Source organism: Homo sapiens, chromosome 5 (genome assembly GCF_000001405.40).
Source record: "Homo sapiens chromosome 5, GRCh38.p14 Primary Assembly".
NCBI lineage: Eukaryota > Metazoa > Chordata > Mammalia > Primates > Hominidae > Homo > Homo sapiens.
Window position 1 is genome coordinate 1183087 of NC_000005.10, and position 14946 is coordinate 1198032.

General features: G+C 55.3%; 4 annotated features.

Annotated features, from left to right (window-relative positions):
• Positions 3832 to 4525: an enhancer, noted in NCBI's record as "H3K4me1 hESC enhancer chr5:1187033-1187726 (GRCh37/hg19 assembly coordinates)". NCBI's record gives its function as "activates a minimal SCP1, AML or CMV promoter by ChIP-STARR-seq in primed H9 embryonic stem cells {active_cell/tissue: H9 hESC(primed)}" and the evidence as "EXISTENCE:reporter gene assay evidence [ECO:0000049][PMID:30033119]".
• Positions 4526 to 5218: an enhancer, noted in NCBI's record as "H3K4me1 hESC enhancer chr5:1187727-1188419 (GRCh37/hg19 assembly coordinates)". NCBI's record gives its function as "activates a minimal SCP1, AML or CMV promoter by ChIP-STARR-seq in primed H9 embryonic stem cells {active_cell/tissue: H9 hESC(primed)}" and the evidence as "EXISTENCE:reporter gene assay evidence [ECO:0000049][PMID:30033119]".
• Positions 12112 to 12919: an enhancer, noted in NCBI's record as "H3K4me1 hESC enhancer chr5:1195313-1196120 (GRCh37/hg19 assembly coordinates)". NCBI's record gives its function as "activates a minimal SCP1, AML or CMV promoter by ChIP-STARR-seq in naive H9 embryonic stem cells {active_cell/tissue: H9 hESC(naive)}" and the evidence as "EXISTENCE:reporter gene assay evidence [ECO:0000049][PMID:30033119]".
• Positions 12920 to 13727: an enhancer, noted in NCBI's record as "H3K4me1 hESC enhancer chr5:1196121-1196928 (GRCh37/hg19 assembly coordinates)". NCBI's record gives its function as "activates a minimal SCP1, AML or CMV promoter by ChIP-STARR-seq in naive H9 embryonic stem cells {active_cell/tissue: H9 hESC(naive)}" and the evidence as "EXISTENCE:reporter gene assay evidence [ECO:0000049][PMID:30033119]".

Genomic DNA, 14946 nt, shown 5'->3' on the forward strand with positions numbered 1-14946 from the left:
AGGCCTGCTCGCCCCAGAGAGGCTGTGGGGCACAGTGAGAAACGTCTCCGGCGTGATTGCTATTGGTGAACTGTGAGTTTCGTTCACCTGCTAAAAATGTTCCCCCAAACAATGTTTCCTTGGAAGCACTTCCATTTCAAAATACAGCTGCAAAGTGCCTTGCTTGGCCCGTGAAGGTCAATGAGCCCGCAGAAGGGGCAGAGACAAAAGGGTTTTTAATAACGCTCCTTGCTGTCAGCAGCAGCACAGGCTCTGTAGACAAGTCAGGCTTTGTTCCCGGCAGTCCGCTGTCATTACATGGGGCAGCTCCATAAAGATACCAAGGCCAGCTCTGAGGCCAGGGTGCAGACTCCAGATGCACAGATGCTGGGCCGGGGATGCCCCTCACCTGGACAGGAGGACAAAATCCCCAGGAGCCCTGGACGGGGGTGGGGCAGGAATGGGGTAAACCACATGCAGCATCCAGCACCCGGCACCCGGCACCCAGAACCCAGCACCCGGCACTGTGCTCAGTAAGGCCTGGAGGACACCAGGGCCGGCCCCAGGGAAGAGGGGGAGAGCAGGTGGCTCCGTGGTCAGGGCTGGGCAGAGGCAGGAAGGGGCAGGGCCAGCGGCCTTTGGGTAACAGCGAAGCTCCTCCTTGCTTGGTTTTCAAGCTCTGAGACCCCTCAGGGGCTGCTGCAGGGGGTGAGGGAGGGGCAAGAAGGGGCATGAGGGGGAAATAGGAGACGTAAGGGGAGCTCACTTCTCCCCCAACCCTTTCCAGGGCAGCAGACCCCCTCTGGCCAGCGGTGTGTGCTCCACCTCCACCTAAGGCTTCCAGTCTGGGCTGCTAAATGGGGAGCCCCTGTCCCCACCCCGGGCGCAGCCCCAGGCTCCCGATAGGCTGGCAAGGCTGGAGAGCCATGGGCAGGCCCAGCCAGGGCCACCAAGGGTTCTGCACATCAGGGCGTGGAGATGATGAAGGGCTGGGTGCACACGGCCCTGGGGTGGGGCAGGAGGAGCACCCAGGGTCTGGGGGAAGGGGCCTGGATGGGTGGGACACGGGCATCCTAGCCGTGGGCAGAAACCTGGAGGCCCCAGAGAGCAGACTCACCTGGGGACGAGAGCTGCCTGAGTACCCCGCACGGGTGCAGGTGCTAGGCAGGCAGAGCTCCTGGAATGTTCCACAGAGGCGGACCCCGCTCTGCCCAGGTTCTCTTTGCAGGTGCTCAACAGGGTCACAGGTGCTTCTTGGAAAACCACAGGCCACTGAGAAGACACCTCCCCAGTTGACGGTTAATCACAAACCATTGGTTAGAAACCATTTTACAGGATTCTAGAGGTGCTTGGAGAAGGAGCTCAGGGATAACCCAGGTGCTGCGGGGTCGGGTCAGGCTGTGGCCTTGGACGCCCCTTCTGTCCCATCCACAAACTCAACTTGGCGCCTCTTGGGGCTGAGACTGGCACCCGAGCCTCCCCTGCAGTGGAGGCCCCTGTACGCCCTGGGGTCAGGTGGACGGAGGTGAGGACCACTCCCCCTCACCGGGACCCACGGACACTGTGCCCACATCCCAGGACCTTTCTTCTGGGCCATGGAGGCCAGGGGTGGCTGAGCTGCTAGTCTGAGGACCTGGGTTCATTTACTGACCAGGCCCCTAGCGGATGCTTGGGCCCCCAGCTGGAAGATGGGGCTGGTCCTGCCTGGGGAGGCTCCTCTGGGAGAGGCCATTGGGAGGGCTTTATCCTGGATGGGGCTGGGAGGTGAGCAGGGCCATTGGACTGGGCTGGGTTGTGGGAAGGAGACCTGGGGTCTGGTGCCCCTTGGCCTCCACCCTGAGTGGTCTCTTTGTCCCCAGGACTCAGTTTCCTCATCTGTAGAATGAGGGCTGACCCAGCCCACCCTTTGTCACCCGGTACCTGGAGTGCCTGGAGGGTCTGTGGAAGGAGCTCCTCCCCCAACTCCCAGAGGGAGTATTGGCACATACATGTGATACGTGTGTGCATATGCACACATGTCAGGATGGAGTTGGCACATATGTGTGATATGTGTGTGCATCTGCACACATGTGATGGAGCTGGCACATGTGTAACACGCTTGTGCATCTTTACACATCTGCACACATGTCAGGATGGAACTGGCACATATGTGTAACATGTGTGTGCACCTGCACACGTGTCATGATGAACTTTACACATGTGTGATGTGTGTGCATCTGCACACGTGTCGTGATGGAGCTGGCACATGTGTAACATGCTTGTGCATCTTTACACATCTGCACACATCAGGATGGAGCTGGCACATATGTGTAATATGCGTGTGCATCTGCACAAGTGTCAGAATGGAACTGGCACATATGTGTGATATGCGTGTACATATGCACACATGCGTCAGGATGGAAAATGCTGAATTGGCTGTTTCTCGCCCCCATGGATGGTGAAATGAGGACACTTCTCCTCTCCGTGTTTGTTCTGCATTTTCCAAATATGTTACAAAACTGTATTTTATAATCACAAAAGTTACAAAAACACACATTTACACTATGGTTATTTCTCTGACAATAACTACAATAACTAGGGGTGTCCCTTCACTTTTCCCAGCTGTGCACCATAGAGCAGAAGGGTTCCATGGATGGGACCAGGGCTTCCGTGCAGGACTCTGGCCCCCAGGCCTCCAGGCCACAAGCTTCAAGCTGGCTGCTTCCAGGCCCAGGGCTTCTGGCCGGGCAGCCTCCCTGGATGTCGTCCACTCAGGGCAGCCAGGGCCCCATCTGACACACTCTGTGGAGAGGAGGTCACAGCCCCTCTCTGTGCTTCCGCTGCCACCCGCTGATCTCAGCTGTTATCTTGACACAGAGGAAAGTCAAACTGCAGCCTGTCCCAGCTTATCTCTGGGTTATTTCCGCAAAGATCCACGTTTGGGTAAGCACTGGCTCTCCTGATAACCTAGCAGTAAACACAGCCAGGAATGTGATGCCCATAGGAGAGGCACAGTGCCAGTGCAAGGCCAGCGTCCCCTGGCTGGCAGGTGCCCAGAGCGCCACACGCACAGGTGTCCTGGGAATTCCCACCCAGGGACCAGAGCATCTGGGGCACGGCCCCTCCTGGGAATGCAGTGGCCCCAGCATGGAGCACCCATGAGTGCCGTGGGTGCCAGGGACAGGACCATGGGGACTGGCCCCCTCTCTCCCCTTCTGTCCTTTCTCTTCTCCTCTTCCCTCCTTCTCTGTCTCTATCTCTCTCTGCCTCTCTGTCTCTGTTTCTCTCTGCCTCTCTGTGTCCCTGTCTCTCTGTCTCTGTTTCTCTCTGCCTCTCTGTCTGTCTCCCTGTCTCTCTGCCTCTGTGTCTTGCTGTCTGTCTCCCCTGCCCCCCGGCCTCCTGCCCTGGTGGGTGGACACTCTGCTTCCCCTTCCCTGGAAAGCAAAGGTAGAGACAAGGGCAGGGGTGAAGGTGACCAGGAGGAATGTCGGAGGTGGAGCTGACCCTGCGGATTTAGCTCCAGGCCTTGGGGAGGTGGGAGGCCTCAGGGTCTCGTGACTTAGGAAGCTGCTGCTCAATAACTTGGGCCTTACAAACTCGGCTCCTCCATGAAAACAAACCACCCCGTTCAGAACAAAGGTTACTGATCCGTGATCACGAGGCCCCCCATGGCTGCCCTCTTGGCTGCTGCCCAATGCCGGGTGCTGAGGGATGTGAGAGGCACCACCAATGAGCCATCAGCATCCCTGGCACCTTTCTCTGGCTGGGCATGGGGGGCGTCCATGCTTTCAGGATGTCTCTGCCCTGTCCTGGTGGCTGCCCCAGGATGTGGGCACCCCCACCCCCTCCTGCTTTTCTCTCCTGGGCCCAGCCCGGCCTCACACTCATCTTGCTGCACCTGGAAGTTTCCAGAAGGGATGGAATCAGGGCCTTGGGCCTCCTCAGGAGAGACCTGTACTTCGCTGTGATAGCTCCAGCCACACCTCAGGTTTGACCGCCATGCTCCAGCTGGCAGCTCCTCCAGGGCAGATGCAGGAGCCCTGTGGCCCCGCTGGGGTGACGTGGGCCTTGGGGATGAGCCTCCACTGATAATTCTCAGGCAGGGATGGGTGGGAGGGCTGTGGAGTCCAGGACGCAGCAGGTCCAGTCCTTGTTGGGGCGCTTGACCCTGTGCTGGGGACGGCAGCCCCGCCTTGGCTGGCTGTGAGCAGATGGTGGGGGTGGCACAGGAGGACCAAGCCTGGCTTCCTGCTGCTTCCATCTCCTGAAAAGGCTCAGAGGCTATGAAAGGGCGGTGCCTCCGAGGTGGGCCCCCTCCCCACCACCCTACCCAATGGGAGGTCATTCTTCCTCCCTGCAGGGGAGCGAGGACCTGAGCGATGATTCCCACGTGTGTGTCTCCTGAGGGCTTGGTCCCTGTGAGATGCCCCAGGGCCCCGAAAAGCCAAGGCCAGGGCACGCTGGGACCCCTGCTGGCCTGGTGGCTTCCAAATGCTGCCCTTCAGTGAGGGCCCGGCTGAGCAGCCAGGTCATTACCAGTCTGCTGTGCCTGAGAAGTCCTCTGCAGACCTGAGGGTCCACCCACCACACTGGGCTGAAGGCACAGCCGGAGGCCTCTGTTGCTCAGCACTGAGAGGTCCTGGCTGGGAGCTGAGGCCTCTGCCAGCAGGCTGGGTGGGGGCTGGGGGTGGCACAGTGGCTGGGAGGAGGCGGCCGTCCCCCAGGAGAGAAAGAAGCCAGAAAGCATGTCCAAATGCAGTGCTGGGCCTGTGTGGGGCTGGGGCGGCTGCGGCCGGTCCTCGGTGTGCCTGGCCCCTGGCCGTCCATCCTGGCCACGTGGGTACCTCTGACCATGCTTTCAGGCTCTCCTCCTCAAGCCTTGAGGGTGCTGTGCCTCCTTGTCCCCTTGAAGGAGCAGGTGCTTGGATGTTGGAATGGCTTTGGCCGGCAGACTGTGGGCAGGGGTGGCCCATACTGGGTCCCCAGCTCTCCCCCGCCAGCTTCAGCAGCTGTGGACTCTGCAGGTGCTCTGGAGGTGCAGCTGCCTGGAGGATCCCTGGCCCATAGAACATTGTCATGGACAGTTGGGGGATGTTTGTTCCTGCAGCGTAGCCTCTCTTGTGCCGGCTAAAATGTCGTCTCTTCCAGATGATTTGAAAGATGGGGCATCTTATGTGGGAAACATCTAAAGCTGAAAGCCTGCCCCATTTCAATAAAATCCGAGAGGCAAAAACACGAAATTGATTAAGGGTCAAATCCCCTTTACAAAGGATTCCGGAAGCTCTTTGGTATATTTCAGCTGTATGTTGTTAAGCTTATGAAATTAGTGAAGGTTTTAAATAAATAATATTACCTACTGTGAGTGAAAGTTCAGTGAGTAGAAGATCCGTAATTCCTGCTGGCGGAAGCATAACTCAGCTTTTTATGGAGAATTTTGTGATGTACGTGTCTACCTGGAAGATAAGGGCAGCCTGTGGCCTTATAATTCCCATCACAGCAATCCACCCCAAGGACACCGTTGGAAATGTGGATTAAGTCATATGGGCAAGGAACATAGATTATAAAACTCTAAGTCTATTTGTGGTGAACTGAAGCCAGTGTTGTAAAAATTATGCATGATGGACAGATTGGGATTATTCCAGGATGGTAAAATTGGTTTAATATTTAACAATCAAACCGTGGGCCAGGTGCGGTGGCTTGTGCCTGTAATCCCAGCCCTTTGGGAGACCAAGGCGGGTGGATCACCTGAAGTTAGGATTTCGAGACCAGCCTGGCCAACATGGTGAAACCCTGTCTCTACTAACAATACAAAAATTAGCCGGGTGTGGTGGCACGCGCCCATAATCCCAGCTACTCAGGAGGCTGAGGCAGGAGAATCGCTTGAACCCAGGAGGCGGAGATTGCACTGAGCCAAGATTACGCCACTGCACTCCAGCCTGGGCAACAGAGGGAGACTCCATCTCAAAAAACAAACAAACAAACAAACAAAATACTGTGTAATCACCTCATGAAGATAATGAAGAATGAAGAGGAACAATGTCTCCTCAAAAATGTAGGAGATAATTTTATGAAGTTTATCACCATTCATGATAAAAAGCAGAACATCAAGGAGGGTTGAGGGCAATGGGAATTTCTTTTTCGGGATGAGCACGTTCCAGCGTCGATTGCAGTGACAGTTGCAGGATGACGTGAGTTCCCTGAAAGCCACTGGATCATGGGCTTGAAGCGAGTGGATTCTACGGTGTGAGAATCAATAAAGCTCATGAAAAAATTAAAAGAAACTCTTAGTAAACTGAGAACAGAAGGAGGAGCCTTGAATCTGAAATGAGCTTGTACAAAAGTCTCCACCATACTAGGTGACTCCAGGGGTGACCTGCTGATGGCTTCCCACAGGCAGGTCAAGGCCAGGAGGCCGCCATGGGGACCCCACCCAGCACTGTGCTGGACACAACGCGGCAAGACAAGAAACACAGAAGAAGCAAAGGTGACAGAGTGGGGGAGGAGAAATAAAGCCGGCACCTGCAGTTGGCATAATTTTGTATTAAGATATCTTAAAAGGGCCGGGCGCTGTGGCTCACGCCTGTAATCCCTGCACTTTGGGAGGCTGAGGTGGGCAGATCACGAAGTCAGGAGATCGAGACCAGCCTGGCTAACATAGTGAAACCCCATCTTTACTAAAAACACAAAAAATTAGCTGGCTGTGGGGGCAGGTGCCTGTAATCCCAGCCACTCGGCAGACTGAGACACGACAATTGCTTGAACCCGGGAGGCAGAGGTTGCGCTGAGCTGAGATCGCACCACTGCACTCCAGCCTGGGCAACAACAGCGAAACTCTGACTCAAAAAAAAAAAAAGATATCTCTAAAAATCAATGGGTAAAATATTAGAAAAAGATTTTGATGTAAGGTCAATATACAAAAAGTAATTGCACTGTTATTGTCAAACCTAGAGAGTGGTTACAGAGAGACTAAAAGAAACTATTTGTGGCTGGGCTGAGGCTGGCATATCACGAAGTCAGGAGTTCGAGACCAGCCTGGCTATCATAGTGAAACCCCATCTTTACTAAAAATACAAAACATTAGCCGAGTGTGGTGGCGGGTGCCTGTAATCACAGCTCTTCAGGAGGCTGAGGCAGGAGAATCGCCTGAACCCAGGAGGCGGAGGTTGAAGTGAGCCGAGATCACGCCACTGCACTCCAGCCCAGGTGACAGTGCGAGACTCCATCTCAAAAAAAAAAAAGAAACTATTTCCTTGGGAACAGGCATTGTGAGGGGAGCAGGCAAACGCGGTCAGGAGGGCTTTAAAGGGAAAATGAAGAGGGTCGCACATGTTGTTGTGGAACAATTCCCCTTGGTGACAGCATCAACAATGAGGGTGGCGTCAGTCCAAGGTTGGACGGGCAGTGAGTGGGCCGATGTCCGCGAAGAAGCATTTTGTGCAAGGTTGTGGGTTTGCAGTCTTTTTTGTGGTTCTTCTTGTCAGGCATTCAGGCGGGAGACCCCTCCCTTCAGAGCCTTCCCAGGCTCCGGTTTCAGTGGGTTCAATCCATGGGACCCTGTTTCAAATCTGACAGCTCTCACATGACGTCCACCAGGCAGGCAGGTTAGGAGACGGACATTTAAAAACAACACCATTTACAACAGAGTCAAAAGATAAATAACTGGGAATAAATCTAATGAAAGATCTTCAGGACTTCTACACAAAACTATGAAACGTTAACAAAGAAAGCCTAAATTAATGGAGAGATACACGGTGTTCATGGTTTGAAAACCTTAACACTGTAAAGATTTCCACTTCAACTGATTTACAGATCTACAGAGTCAATTAAATGCATTTCCATTAAAATCCCAGCTGCCTTTTTTCTGCAGAAAGTGACAAGGTTGCTATAAAATGTATGTTGCTAAGAAAAACAAAGTGGAAGGACTTTACCACCAGACACCAAGGATTATTGGAAGGCAACAGGGAATACGATGGTGTATTATTGGTGCAAAGTAGACAAGAAGACCAATGAACAAAAGAGGAAGTGCAGAAGTCGATCGAACAGGCCTGGACATGGGTGGGAGGCAGGGGCAGCCTGCAGAGGCAGGAGGTGGAAGAGGAAGCTCCAGGGCCTGAAGGCGGGCAGAGGTGCACATAAACAGCAGACGATTGGTCGACTTACACTTGACAGCTTCTGTACATCAAAACATGTCATGAGGGGAGGAAAGGCTGAGGAGCAGGGGAGATGTCATGGGGGGAGGAAAGGCTGAGGAGTAGGGGAGATGTCATGGGGGGAGGAAAGGCTGAGGAGTAGGGGAGATGTCATGGGGGGAGGAAAGGCTGAGGAGTAGGGGAGATGTCATGGGGGGAGGAAAGGCTGAGGAGTAGGGGAGATGTCATGAGGGGAGGAAAGGCTGAGGAGCAGGGGAGATGTCATGGGGGGAGGAAAGGCTGAGGAGTAGGGGAGACGTCATGGGGGGAGGAAAGGCCGAGGAGTGGGGGAGACGTCATGAGGGGAGGAAAGGCTGAGGAGTGGGGGAGACGTCATGAGGGGGAAAGGCTGAGGAGTGGGGGAGACGTCATGAGGGGAGGAAAGGCTGAGGTGGGGGGAGACGTCATGAGGGGAGGAAAGGCCGAGGAGTTGGGGAGACGTCATGAAGGGAGGAAAGGCCGAGGAGTTGGGGAGACGTCATGAGGGGAGGAAAGGCCGAGGAGTGGGGGAGATGTCATGAAGGGAGGAAAGGCCGAGGAGTGGGGAAGATGTCATGAGGGGAGGAAAGGCCGAGGAGTGGGGGAGACGTCATGGGGGGAGGAAAGGCTGAGGAGTGGGGGAGACGTCATGGGGGGAGGAAAGGCCGAGGAGTTGGGGAGACGTCATGAGGGGAGGAAAGGCCGAGGAGTGGGGAAGATGTCATGAGGGGAGGAAAGGCCGAGGAGTGGGGGAGACGTCATGAGGGGAGGAAAGGCTGAGGAGTAGGGGTAGACGTCATGAGGGGAGGAAAGGCTGAGGAGTAGGGGCGGATGTCATGAGGGGAGGAAAGGCTGAGGAGTGGGGGAGATGTCATGAGGGGAGGAAAGGCTGAGGAGTAGGGGGAGATGTCATGAGGGGAGGAAAGGCTGAGGAGTAGGGGAAGATGTCATGAAGGGAGGAAAGGCTGAGGAGTGGGGGAGATGTCATGAGGGGAGGAAAGGCTGAGGAGTAGAGGAGATGTTATGAGGGGAGGAAAGGCTGAGGAATGGGGGAGATGTCATGGGGGGAGATGTCATGGGGGGAGGAAAGGCTGAGGAGTGGGGGAGATGTCATGAGGGGAGGAAAGGCTGAGGAGTGGGGGAGATGTCATGGGGGGAGATGTCATGGGGGGAGGAAAGGCTGAGGAGTAGAGGAGATGTTATGAGGGGAGGAAAGGCTGAGGAATGGGGGAGATGTCATGGGGGGAGATGTCATGGGGGGAGGAAAGGCTGAGGAGTGGGGGAGATGTCATGGAAAAGGAGGAAAGGCTGAGGAGTCGGGGAGATGTCATCGGGGGAGGAAAGGCTGAGGAGTGGGGGAGATGTCATGGAAAGGGAGGAAAGGCTGAGGAGTCGGGGAGATGCCATGAGGGGAAGAAAGGCTGAGGAGTGGGTGAGATGTCATGGGGGGAGGAAAGGCTGAGGAGTGGGGGAGATGTCATGAGGGCTGGATCGGCTCTGAGTGGGGGAGATGTCATGGGGGGAAAGGCTGAGGAGTGGGGGAGATGTCGTGAGGGGAGAAAAGGCTGAGGAGTGGGGGAGATATCATGAGAGGTGGAACGGCTCTGAGTGGGGGAGATGTCGTGGGGGAAAGGCTGAGGAGTGGGGGAGATGTCGTGGGGGGAGGAAAGGCTGTGAGTAGGGGGAGACGTCATGGGGGGGGAAGGCTGAGGAGTCGGGGAGATGTCATAGGGGGAGGAAAGTCTGAGGAGTGGGGGAGATGTCATGAGGGGAGGAAAGGCTGAGGAGTGGGTGAGATGTCGTGGGGGGAGAAAAGGCTGTGAGCAGGGGGAGATGTCGTGGAGGGAAGGAGAGGCAGTGAGTAGGGGGAGATGTCGTGGAGGGGAGGGACAGGCCGTGAGCAGGGGGCGATATCATGGAGGGGAAGGACAGGCCATGAGTTGTGGGAGATGTCGTGGAGGGGAAGGACAGGCCGTGAGTCAGAGATGTCGTGGAGGGGAAGGACAGGCTTTGAGTCGGGGGAGATGTCACGGAGAGGAGGGACAGGCCGTGAGTTGAGGGAGATGTCACGGTGGGGGAGGAAAGGCTGTGAGTAGGGGCAGATGTTTCAGGAACAGGACATTTTGGAATATGTTGAGAGTCCCGAAATCCCCATGAAGAAGTCAGCATCAGTAGCGTACGGCATGTGGACAGGCATTCCTTGGGGCAGCCGATGGCCCGTGAAAGCCATAGATGATGTCCAGCATCCCTGGCCACCAGGAAAACCAGAATTCAAAGCATGGAGATCCTGTGGCTGAATGGTGGAAAGGCTGGACGCCAGGGCTGGGTGTGGGTGGAGGGGCAGGGCCAGGGTGACCAGCTGGACTGTTCATGGAAATCACCTGCCTGCACCTTTCCGGCCGGACACACTCGCCCCAGGAGGCAGCATCTCCCCTCGTGGGCGCTTACCTCGGAGAACTCCGGGCATGAATGTGCGAAAGGCAGGAACAGACGTCCACGGCGGCTTTCATCCTCATGGCGCAAACGGGACCCCTACCGTCAGCAATGGAGCCGTGAAGGAGCTGCAGCCGTGGACCTGGAGCAGGCACAGCGAGCCAGGGTGCGAGGCCCGGACAGCTCTGAGCGGAACAGCGAGCCACCTGCAGCGTCCAGCTCGAGACAGTGGCTCCTTTCTGGAAGTGGGATGGGGCTGAGGGAGCCGGGCTGCTGGGGTTCTGGAACATTGCGTTTCCTGCTCTGGGCAGGGGTTTGTTCCGCGGATGTGCCGCTTCCTGAAAGTTCATCCACCTGGAGAAAGACGCAGGTGCAGCTCGTCCACCCCAGCAAGGCTTCTTGGGGAAAATGAAAGCCAAGGCTGCCGTGAATTTCCATAATCAACGAGGGTGCCGCTGGTGCAGAGGGCTTTCGATGTCACACTCCGGATGGTATTTGAAAGAAAAATTAAATAAAAATTCAAACCTAACAATCTAAACATTTAATAAACAGAAACTCCTCATGAGATTATGTTTATTTTTTAATTTTTTAAACTTATTTTAAGTTCAGGGCCGCATGTGCAGGATGTACAGGTTTGTTACAGAGGTTAATGTGTGTCATGGGGGTTTGCGTACAGATTATTTCATCACCCGGGTATTAAGCCTAGTACCCATTAATTATTTTTCCTGACCCTCTCCCTCCTCCCACCGCCCACCCTCTGACAGGCCCAGTGTCTTATATTCCCTTCTATCTGCCCAGGTGTTCTCAGCATTTAACTCCTGTTTATAAGTGAGACGTGCAGTATTTGGTTTTCTGTTCCTGTATGAGTTTGCTAAAGGTAATGGCCTCCAGCTCCATCCGTGTTCCTGCAAAGGACATGATCTGGTTCCTTTTTATGGCTGTATAGTATTCCATGGTGCACATGTGCCACATTTTCTTTATCCAGTCTACCGACGATGGGCATGTAGGTTGATTCCATGTCTTTGCTGTTGTGACTAGTGCTGTGAGGGACATAGTATGCAGACGAGACATGATGTTTAGTAAATATCATGCACAGAGTTGAATCTCACATCATGAGTGAGTGTATCACACACAGATATTTATAAACTACAGGACAGGGAGAAAACCATTGACAGCGTTTTCCTCCAGGAGGTATTGAAAATGCTCCAATTTCCTTTGCTGAGCTTGTAATAACTTGCTTTTGCAATAAGATATTTCCGTAGACACAAAGGCACACTGTTTCCGACTGCGGACCCCAAGGACCCTCCTCAGGTCTGTGTGGGCAAGGTGTATGGAAACCTGTTCTGCAAAGACCCACAACAATGACCCCCTCCATGTGCTCATCACGGACAAAGGTAACTTTTCACTACGTGCCCCAGGTGGCCTCTCTGGCCTCAAGGGAGGACATCTTTCTGGCCACCCTGGCCTTTCTGATGAGTCTCAAATGCAACCCGGAACAGGCAGAAGCCCGGGGTAGTTCACCTGCCCCCAAGCTGCCCCAGATTTCAGAAGGGAGCTTCACTCCCTGACCCCCATCAGCAAGATGGTAGGGGTCTCCTGCAGTACCTGGAGCTGGGAAGGGAGGGGCAGAGGTGGTGGGGACGAACCTGCCCTGGGGATATCTCTGGGGCCCCAAGGCTGCAGGGCGTCAGATATTGAGGAGGGCTCATAAGGCATCAGGCAGGTTCTGGGGGCTCAGGGCTCACCAGTAAACAGAGGCAACAAAGATTCCTACCTGGTCCCTCTTATGTCCAAGTGGGGAAGAGAGAGCATGAGCCCTTAGCCCAACAGCTAAACAAACTGGACAGCCTGTTGGAGGAGATCCTGCTATGCAAAGGAAAGGCAAGGAGAAGTGCAGTCCCACTGCGTGGCCCATGCTTCGCCTGTGCGGACCAAGCTGAATTCCTGGGAAGCAGCCCTCAGCCAGCAGCAGGTGCAGGCCAGGCCTGTGGGAGGACCCTGCAGGGTCAGAGGCCGTGCACAGGGCAGGTAGGACCCTGCTGGCCCTCAGGGATCATTGCCTTTGCTCTAATGAACACTGAAGGTTTCTGAGCGAGAGGGACTTGGTGACCACCTGGGGAGTGCAGAGGCCCTGAGAACTGCTTCCCTGGCCCCTGCCCCACCTTGGAGCCCAGAAGAGGACACCTCATCTTTCCCTGCCTCTGAGGAATGACGATCACAGACAGTCACCTCCCACCCCCTGGGGACACAGTTGATGGCCATTACAGACAGTCACCTCCCATGTCCCGGGCACGCAGTCGACAGCCATCACAGACAGTCACCTCCCACCTCCCAGGCACGCAGTCGACGGCCATCACAGATGGCCACTTCCCACCTCCTGGGCATGCAGTCGACGGCCATCACAGCCGGTCACCTCCCACCTCCCGGGCACGCAGTCGACGGCCATCGCCGACGGTCACCTCCCACCTCCCGGGCACGCAGTCGACGGCCATCACAGTCACCTCCCACCTCCCAGGCACGCAGTCGATGGCCTCTGAGACCACAGCAGCATCACAGAGGCCTCATGCTGGTGACCCGGCCTCAGGCTCTGCAGCAGGAAATGAGGTCCATGGTCCTTGGCTTGCCTGGTCCCTCCTCCCAGCCGGCAATGGGCAGGGCTGGCCAGGGCTGTGAGGGTTTTGGGAAGCTCAGGCGGTGGTGGCGCTGAGACCCTCCCAAGGGCTCCCCATTCCTCAGAGGCAGGGACAGATGAGATGCTCTCTTCTGCAGGAAGAAAGCTCCAGTGCAGGATCAGAACCAAAGTGGCCCCTCGAGGCCCTGTTGTGGGAGCTGCTGCAGGCGTCAGGCACTGGTCTTCCATCAGTCATAGCTATTTCTAGATATTTTCTCAGGGAACAAGCATGGAGTACTTACCTAGGTACGAGGCAGTTGAGTACTCTGGGGGTTGAGTACTGTGGCAGTTAGATACATTGGGAGTTAGGTATTTTGGGAGTTGGGTACTATGAGAATTGAGTACTATGGGAGTTAGGTACATGGGAGTTAGGCATTATGAGGGTTAGGTACTGTGGGAGTTGGGTACTGTGGGAGTTGGGTACTGTGGGTGTTTGGTACTATTGTAGTTGAGTACTGTAGGAGTTGGGTGCTGTGGGGGTTGGGTACTGTGGGAGTTGGCTACTATTGTATTTGGCTACTGTGGGATTTGGGTACTGCAGGAGTTGGGTACTGTGGGAGTTGGGTACTATTGTATTTGGGTGCTGCAGGATTTGGGTACTGTGGGAGTTGAGTACTATAGTAGTTTGGTACTGTGGGAATTGGGTACTGTGGGAGTTGGGGACTGTAGGAGTTGGGTACTGTGGCAGTTGGGTACTGCGGGAGTTGGGTACTGCAGGAGTTGGGTACTGTAGGGGTTGGGTACTATTGTAGTTGGGTCCTGTGGGAGTTGGGTTCTGTGGGAGTTGGGTACTGTGGGAGTTGGGGACTGTGGGAGTTGGGTACTGTGGGAGTTGGGTACTGCAGGGGTTGGGTACTGTGGAGGTTGGGTATTGTGGGAGTTGGGTCCTGCGGGAGTTGGGTACTGCGGGAGTTGGGTACGGCAAGGGTTGGGTACTGTGGGGGTTGGATACTGTGGGAGTTGGGTACTGTGGGAGTTGGGTACTGCAGGGGTTAGGTACTGTGGGGATTGGATACTATGGGAGTTGGGTACTGTGGCAGTTGGGTACTGCAGGGGTTGGGTACTGTGGGGGTTGGATACTGTGGGAGTTGTGTTCTGTGGCAGTTGAGTAGTTGGGAGTTGGGTATTGTGGCATTTGTGTACTGTGGGAGTTGTGCACTGTGAGAGTTGGGTACTGTGGGAGTGGGGTACTATGGCAGTTGGGTACTGCAGGGGTTGGGTACTGTGGGGGTTGGATACTGTGGGAGTTGTGTTCTGTGGCAGTTGAGTAGTTGGGAGTTGGGTATTGTGGCATTTGTGTACTGTGGGAGTTGTGCACTGTGAGAGTTGGGTACTGTGGGAGTGGGGTACTATGGGAGTTGGGTACTGCAGGGGTTGGGTACTGCGGGGGTTGGGTACTGAGGGGGTTGGGTACTGCGGGGATTGGGTACTGAGGGGGTTGGGTACTGTGGGAGTTGGGTACCGTGGGGGTTGGATACTGTGGGAGTTGGGTTCTGTGGGAGTTGTGTACTGCAGGAGTTCGGTACTGTGAGAGTTGGGTACTACGCTTTGTTTTACATATACGAATGCTGGGCCTGAGGGCACTAAGAACTATGGGGCCAGTGGCCCAGCAAATGTGGTCCAAGTTGGTTTTGGTTGCTACCCCGCAACCTGGTTGCCTCTGCAGAAGTTTCTAGAGGCACTGGGGAGAGGAGGAAGCCTCAAGGCCACTGGCCC